Source organism: Homo sapiens, chromosome 7 (genome assembly GCF_000001405.40).
Source record: "Homo sapiens chromosome 7, GRCh38.p14 Primary Assembly".
NCBI classification, from domain to species: Eukaryota; Metazoa; Chordata; class Mammalia; order Primates; family Hominidae; genus Homo; species Homo sapiens.
Window position 1 is genome coordinate 148457036 of NC_000007.14, and position 8613 is coordinate 148465648.

The 8613-nt window shown below is 45.6% G+C and overlaps 1 annotated feature.

Annotated features, from left to right (window-relative positions):
• Positions 7848 to 8048: a silencer, noted in NCBI's record as "peak6829 fragment used in MPRA reporter construct". NCBI's record gives its function as "represses an SCP1 promoter by STARR-seq MPRAs in K562 erythroleukemia cells {active_cell/tissue: K562}" and the evidence as "EXISTENCE:reporter gene assay evidence [ECO:0000049][PMID:32103011]".

Consider the following 8613-nt stretch of genomic DNA (forward strand, 5'->3'; position numbering starts at 1 on the left):
CTGTGCAGCTCTCGGCAGAGAGGAGACCTGGAGTGGGTAGCTTCTATCTGCAGGCAGGGCGTCCTGCCATTGGCTTGAGTCTGGCTGAATGGGGGGGTTTATGGGCTAGGAAGGGAGGAAGTACATGCTGATTTATCCCTGGATGGCCATGGGCAGGCCCTGAAAAAAGCACCATAAGTTCTCACTCTGGGCTGCAGACTTCACCTAGAACTGACAGCCTGGCTCCCAGGCTTCAGGCCATCCCTGGCTTGAAGGTGGGCAGGGACCTCCCCATTTTACCCAGGAAGCTGTCTGTCTCCCGCCATCAATGTGCCATCCATGATGCCCAGGCTGTTCATGCCAAGGGGTGCTTTCAGGCTCACGTAGAGCCACCCTCAGCACCTCCCAGCCTCCCTCCCACACTCTTTGGTGCCCAAAGTCCAAAAAGGGCTGAGGCGGTGTGTCAGCATGGTCCTGAGCACATGCACACCTGGCTGGGTCACTACAGGGCCCAGGCTAGGCTACCTTGTTCCACATCAGAGCAGGCCCTAGATATGGGGAGAGGCCAGGGAATAAGAGGAGGAACTTCCGAGCCTGTGGGGGTAGGGGGAGCTTCCCTGGCCCCCAAGAGTGCAGGGATGCCGGAGCCTGGAGCTGCAGCTGGGCAGCTATAGCTATGCCTGGGGAGCCTGGGGCTCCCACCCCGCCAGCGCGGCCAACTCAGTAGGAGGCAGGGCTCTGACCTGTTCCTGGCCCCCAAGAACACAGGAATACCAGGGCCTGGAGCCTGTTCCCAGCTCCTGCTGGCTTCCTGGAGGGCGCAGTCCCAACCACACCCTTCTCCCCCATTACAGCCGGCATCTTCACAGTGGCCACTCCAGACAGGCCACTATTGCCATCACTAATTCCCTCTTTCAGAATTACCTAGAAGCCTCAGAGGACCCAGTACGCTGTGGGGGAAGAAAAGGAATAAAAGCTCCCACCCACTCCCAGATTCAGCCCCACAGACTTGCATTTCCCAAGTCCCCACCTTCTGTATCCCATAAAGATCGTTTGCCTTTAGCCATGGTACTCAGGGTGAGCTTGGCTATGGCAGGGCCTCTATAACCTTCATCAGCACCTTTCCTTGGCCAACCTCAATAAACAGTCATTAAAACAGTGGGCAGCTATACGAACAAAAAACCACAGGGATGTTCCCTGATCCCAGCTACTTTCCAGACACACCTTGGTTCCAAAGTCAAATTCTGGAGCTGACTCTGACAGAGACCACCAGGTCTAGGACCCAAAGTTCAGTGCCAGGCTCAAAGGATACAAGACAGAGGCAGACTGGCAGGACTCAGAGACTCCATCCAACTTTGCCCCTCCTGAAGCCACAAGACAGGGAATGCCTGGGGCTACCAGGAGCTGGAAGAGGAAGGAAGGATTCTCTCTAGAGTCTTTGCAGAGAGAGCAAAGCCCTGCTGACACCTGCTGGCTTCCAGAACTGTAAGGGAATGCATTTGTATTGTTTGAAGATGTCCATGTTTGTGGTCATTTGTGATAACAGCCCTAGGAAACTAATGCACCCATATGTCAGACATTATTACAGACAGGCATCCTTATGGTTGGATCAGCTGGATCCTGGAAGAATTGAGCTCACCTGGGAGCTCTTACTCCCCTGGCAAGCAAAAGGGAACTCTGAATGCTGAACAATGTGCCAGGAAATGGTTATTTATATGAAAGCTATTGGTGGGAAGAGGAATGGGTTCTCAAACCTGGCTGATTATCAGAATCCCTGGGGCTATTTTTAAATAGCCAGGTTGTTGTTGTTGTTGTTGTTGTTGTTGTTGTTGTTGTTGTTTGAGAGGGGGTTTTGCTCTTGTTGCCCAGGCTAGAATGCAATGGCACGATCTCGGCTCACTGCAACCTCCACCTCCCGGGTGCAAATGATTCTCCTGTCTCAGTCTCCCAAGTAGCTGGAATTACAGGCTCCCTCCGCCATGCCCAGCTAATTTTTGTATTTTTAGTAGAGATGGCGTTTCATCATATTGGTCAGGCTGGTCTCAAACTCCTGACCTCTGGTGATCCGCCTGCCTTGGCATCCCAAAGTGCTGGGATTACAGGCGTGAGCCACTGTGCCCGGCCTAAATATCCAGGTTCTTAGAGCTCATCCACAACCTTATAAATCAGAATTTCTAGTAGTACAGCCAATAAGCTGAATTTTTAAGGGTCCCCTGAGGTTTCTGCTTTTCGACTTGGTCTCATCTCCATGCCAGGGTGAGAGGGGGTTTACTTCTCTATGATGTGTGTGTAACAGGCGCCATCCTGACCAGAGGAGGGCAGGGACAAGAAGACTTCTGAGTTCTTCACACAGCCAGGAAAGCTTGGGTAAAAAGAACCAAGGGATCATGGTAGCCGCTCACACAAAGCTTTAGAGGGGAAGATGCCTTCTTTTAGGGTTCAAAGCACATTTCTCATTCTTGAAAATGGATAGCAGATTTATCAGGAGGCGTTGGGAGTGGCCTGTGCAGTGAAGGATTAACCTTGACTGAAGATAGGTTTCATCTTTTGTGCCCCAACTTGGGAGGTAACTTCGAAGCCACTGGGATGTTCTGGCAGATAAGAATGCCTTTGTTGCCGGGCGCGGTGGCTCATGCCTGTAATCCCAGCACTTTGGGAGGCTGAGGCGGGTATATCACGAGGTCAGGAGATCAAGACCATCCTGGCCAACACGGTGAAACCCCGTCTCTACTAAAAATACAAAAAATTAGCCGGGCATGATGGCAGGTGCCTGTAGTCCCAGCTACTCAGGAGGCTGAGGCAGGAGAATGGCGTGAACCCGGGAGGCGGAGCATGCAGTGAGCCAAGATTGCGCCATTGCACTCCAGCCTGGGCGACAGAGCGAGACTCCGTCTCAAAAAAAAAAAAAAAAAAAAAAAAAAAGAATGCCTTTGTTTACCGAGGGGCTTTGGGCTATGCTAGATAGTCTCTTCTAACAGTAAGATTCATCCTGGGGACTTTGGGCCACATGATATTAATTTGACCTCTTGAGGGGCTAGAGACTAAGGTCAGCCTTATAGTTGTCAGACATATCTGTATTACCAACCTCCAATGAAAGCCCTGGATGCCAGGCCTCAGGCAGGTTGGTGATATTCCATACTTCATATCACACATTTTTGCTAGGAAAAAGAAACTTTGCTCACGATGCCACTGGGAGCAGATGACTGAGTGCTCTGTGCCTGGCCTCACCTGGACCATGCTCTATGAACCTTTTTGCATTACTAATTTTAATCAATATCATTTCACTGTAGTAACTATAGCCATGTGACCAGGCACGGTGGCTCACGCCTGTAATCCCAGCACTCTGGGAGGCCAGGGCAGGTGGATCACTTGAGGTCAGGAGTTCGAGACCAGCCTGGCCAACATGGTGAAACCCCATCTCTACTAAAAATACAAAAATTGGCCAGGTGTGGTGGTGCAGGCCTGTAATCCCAGCTACTCGGAGGCTGAGGCAGGAGAATCAGTTGAACCCAGGAGGCAGAAATTACAACCAGCTGAGATCGTGCCACTGCACTCTAGCCTGGGTGACAGACAGAGACTCTATCTCAGAAAAATAAAATAATAAAATAAAATAAATAAAATAAAATAAAATAAAATGAATAAACTGTAGCCATGAGTATAACTGCTTTGCTGAGTTCCATGAATCCTAGCAAACTATTGAACCTGAAGGTAATCTTGGAGATATTCCCAAAGCATAATTATAAATAAAGTTTTGTGACTAGTGTTTCTTCACTTAACAATAGAGCATAATTGCATTTTATATTATTAAACATTTTCCATCATTTAAATGGCATATATCCAATATATGGCTATCCTCAAACTTACTTTACTATTATTAATTTACCTGCCCTACTACATTACTTTATTATTGGACCTTTAGATAGTACCCGAATTTTCCCTATGGAAATATTGCTGAAAATAACAATTATAAGTAGATGTATTTGTTTGTCCATCATTTTGACTTTATAACAAATTCCTAGAAGTGGGATACTCCATCAAATGGTACGCATATTTGTTTCATATTGCCAAAGAGTCTTCACAAATATTTTCCCAGTTTACATTTCTCATACCCTTGACAATTCTGTGCATTAGCATTTTTCCATTTCTGCCAAATTAAGAGGTGGAAAATGCTATCTGAATATTAGTTGAACTTGCTTTAATTTGCACTTCATTGATTACTAATGGGAGTGGACAGCTTTTTCAGATGTTTTTATTAGTCCTTTGAGAACTCCCTGTCATTTAGGAGATTCTCGATCTTTTTTTTTTTTTTTCCAGTTTGCACCAATTCACACTCCCACCAGCAGTATTTGAGAATTCCTGATTAGAAAAGGGCCGTATTGGTGTGAGCTGGACTCACTGGGGTGGACCCAGCAGGTGAGGCTGGGGTTTGAATAGACGGGCATTTTCATCAGGGAAACCTGCATGTAGTGAGAGGCAGGTATATTTCAGAACCTGAGGATAAAGCAGCTGGGTGGGAGCAGAGGGTGGGTCAGGTTGAGCAAGAAACAGCAGAGCTGGCTAGACGGGCCTCAAGGTGGAAAGACTTGAGTCATAGCCAGACCACTTATCCTGTGGACAGCAATAACCCACAACAGGTCCCTATGCAAGGGAACAATTTATAACTATTGACTTTCTTGCTTAACCAAATATTTAAATTCTCAACATGTGTGGTATTGCTAAAAAGTCTGTTTTAATTTTTATCTTCCACCCACCCAATCTCCCAAGCCTCCATCTGCTCAACTCTGCTCCTCAAACACATATCCATATCGCAGTACCTATACCACCAACACTACCATGGTATGTACTACATACACACTCACATACACATGTACACATAACACACATGCACACACACAAATATACACACTCACATACACACACGCACACACATACACACACAAGCACACAAACATACACACATAAACACACTCACATACACATATACACATTCACACATATACATACACTCACACATATATACATACACATGCACACATATACAAACATACATACACACATACACAACATATACACACAAGCACATATACACACATGCATACACACATGCACACACAACACACACATGCACACAAACACATACACATTTACACATGCATGCACACACAATACACACTGTACACACATATACACATACATGTACACATACACTAACATGTTTCGAGAAGTCAGGGACCCCAAATGGAGGGATCAGCTGGAGCTGCAGCAGAGGAACATAAATTGTGAAGATTTCATTTTAATATGGACATTTATCAGTTCTCAAATAATGCTTTTATAATTTCTTATGCCTGTCTTTAATCTCTTAATCCTGTTATCTTTGTAAGCTGAGGATGTACATCACCTCAGGACCACTGTGATAATTGTGTTAACTGTATAAATTGATTGTAAAACATGTGTGTTTGAACAATATGAAATCAGTGCACCTTGAAAAAGAACAGAATAATAGCAATTTTTATGGAACAAAGGAAGACAACCATAAGGTCTGACTGCCTGCAGGGTCGGGCAAAAAGAGCCATATTTTTCTTCTTGCAGACAGCCTATAAACGGACGTGCAAGTAGGAAACATATCGCTAAATTATTTTCCTAGCAAGGAATATTAATATTAATACCTTAGGAAAGGAATGCATCCCTGGGGGAAGGTCTATGAACGGCCGCTCTGGGAATGTCTGTCTTGTGCAGTTGAGATAAGGACTGAAATAAGGCCTGGTCTCCTGCAGAACCCTCAGGCTTACTAGGGTTGGGAAAACTCAGCCCTGGTAAATCTGTGGTCAGACCAGTTCTCTGCTCTCGAACCCTGTTTTCTGTTAAGATGTTTATCAAGACAATACGTGCACCGCTGAACATAGACCCTTATCAGTGGTTCTTCTTTGCCCTTTGCCCTGTGATATTTGTGAGACCCTTATCAGTGGTTCTGCTTTTCGCCCTTTGAAGCATGTGATCTTTGTACCTACTCTCTGTTCTTACACACACCCCCCTTTTGAAACCCTTAATAAAAACTTGCTGGTCTGAGACTCGGGCGGGCATCACGGTCCTACCGATATGTGATGTCACCCCTGGCGGCCCAGCTGTAAAATTCCTCTCTTTGTACTATCTCACTTTATTTCTCAGCCGGCCGACACTTACGGAAAATAGAAAGAACCTACATTGAAATATTGGGGATGGGTTTCCCCAATACTAACACACATACACACACATGCACACACAACACATACACACAAGCACACATATATGCACACTCATACACGCATACACATGCACACACAACACATACACACAAGCACACATATGCACTCATACACGCATACACATGCACACACAACATACACACAAGCACACATATATGCACACTCATACACGCATACACATGTACACACATGCACACATACAAACATACACATACACACTCACATACACAAACACACACGTGCACACATGCACAGATGCACACACATACACACATATACACACTTATACAGGTGTAAAAATATACACACATACACATATATACACATAAACACTGACATATACCACATGCACACACATATACATGCACAAACATGCACACACATACACACACATACACATACATACTCATGAATGCACGCACATACACACATACATAAATACACACACGTACATACATATACATATGCACATACATACATATGCCTACCCACCCATTTTGCCATCCAGTGGGCCCTTCTGGTTTGAATGTCCTTGTTCCACTTTTTCACCTTTAGAATAAAGATACCTTCTTTACCCTAAAGGTGTAGAATAAAGTCCTACAAATCTTTTAAGGCCACAGTCTGCTTGTTCATATCCTTGGGAGCTCAGTTACAAGCTGTACCACGATGTGTCTGTTTCCTTATCAGTCTACCTGCTGACAAAGATTAAGACCAATTCTGTTTTGTGGTTGTCATAGTCATTAGGAACCGATCTTTCCTAGAACTCTCCAAGCCTTAGTGGTCTGATTTGAGGGTCCCTAGGGAAGCTTTCCCACCTGAGAATTTCACACATTTGCCAATAAACCAGAAATTCTACTTCTTTTGAGTCTCAGTGGGTTTTCATTTTCCAGCTTCTCCTAATAAACTGAAAGTGCTCTTACTGTCAATCTCTCATCAGCTAATATTCTGATCATTGGCCCATATCTAAGTGGTGATCAGACAACAGCTCGGCTTTGCCTGAGTGCAGGTGAGTCGGGCAAGGACAAAAGAACGTGCACACTAGGACTTCACCTGTGTTGCTGCTTCCTGGCAGCAGACTCTGAAGGGAGAGTAACAGATGCCCACAACTGGAATCAAAATTTAATCTGGAGGCCAGGCACAGTGGCTACTGCCTTAATCCCAGCACTAGAGGCCAAGACAGGTAGATCACTTGAGGCCAGAAGTTGGAGACCAGCCTGGTCAACATGGTGGAACCCCATCTCTACTAAAAATACAAAAATTAGCTGGGCATGGTGGCTCACGCCTGTAGTCCCAGCTACTCGGGAGGCTGAGGCACAAGAATTGCCTGAACCCAGGAGGCGGAGGTTGCAGTGAGCCGAGATCACACCACCACACTCTAGCCCGGGTGACAGAGCAAGACTCTGTCTCACATAATAATAATAATAATAATAATAATCTGGAAAATAGCTGCAGAAGTAGCTCCAGCATGCATATTGGTCCCTGAGTTTCAATTCTCAATACATCATATTAAATGCCTCCATCCTCTTTACACTAACCTGGATCAAAAAAGAGAAGAACTGGCATCCTGTGGACAGTAACTGTCCAGAAAGTCTTGAGATAAATTTATTCATAAAACCAGGCATCCCAGTGAATCTGTTGGGCCATTTTTTAATAACTTCCATGTCTTCATCTTAAATAACACGTATTTCACAGTTCACTCCTGTCTTCCATCCTACTCCCTCCTTTTGTTCTTTCTGTGTAACTTTCTTTATCCATGGCCTAAGCGCTGAGGATACAGAGGTAAATGCTGTCACCTTTCACAGACTCTCAGTCCGTCCCTCTCGTAATCCCTTCCCCATGGTGTTGTCTGTCACTCATGGCTCTTTGTGTGGGTGTGCGCATTGCCGTGTGATGCAATTCCCTCATCTTCTCATGAAAACACACGCACAGCCAAGTTGACTCTATCATCCATGCTTGTCAGAAGCAGGGAGGCCTTTGCGTGACTCTCCTCTGGGTTACAGGAAAGACATAAACATGAAAAATGTGCTTTTAATTGTATTTGCTTGCACTCCTACTCAAGTCTATTCTTTTTTTTTTTTTTTTTTTTTTTTAAGACAGAGTCTCGCTCTGTCACCAGGCTGGAGTGCAATGGCGCGACCTCGCCCCATTACAACCTCCACCTCTCGGGTTCAAGCAATTCTCCTACCTCAGCCTCCCGAGTAGCTGGGGCTACAGGCATGCGCCACCACACCCGGCTAATTTTTGTATTTTTAGTAAAAACGGGGTTTCACTATATTGGCCAAGCTGGTCTCGAACTCCTGACCTCGTGATCCGCCCACCTCGGCCTCCCGAAGTGCTTGAATTACAGGCATGAGCCACTGCACCCGGCCCAAGTCTATTCTTAAAAGCCAGA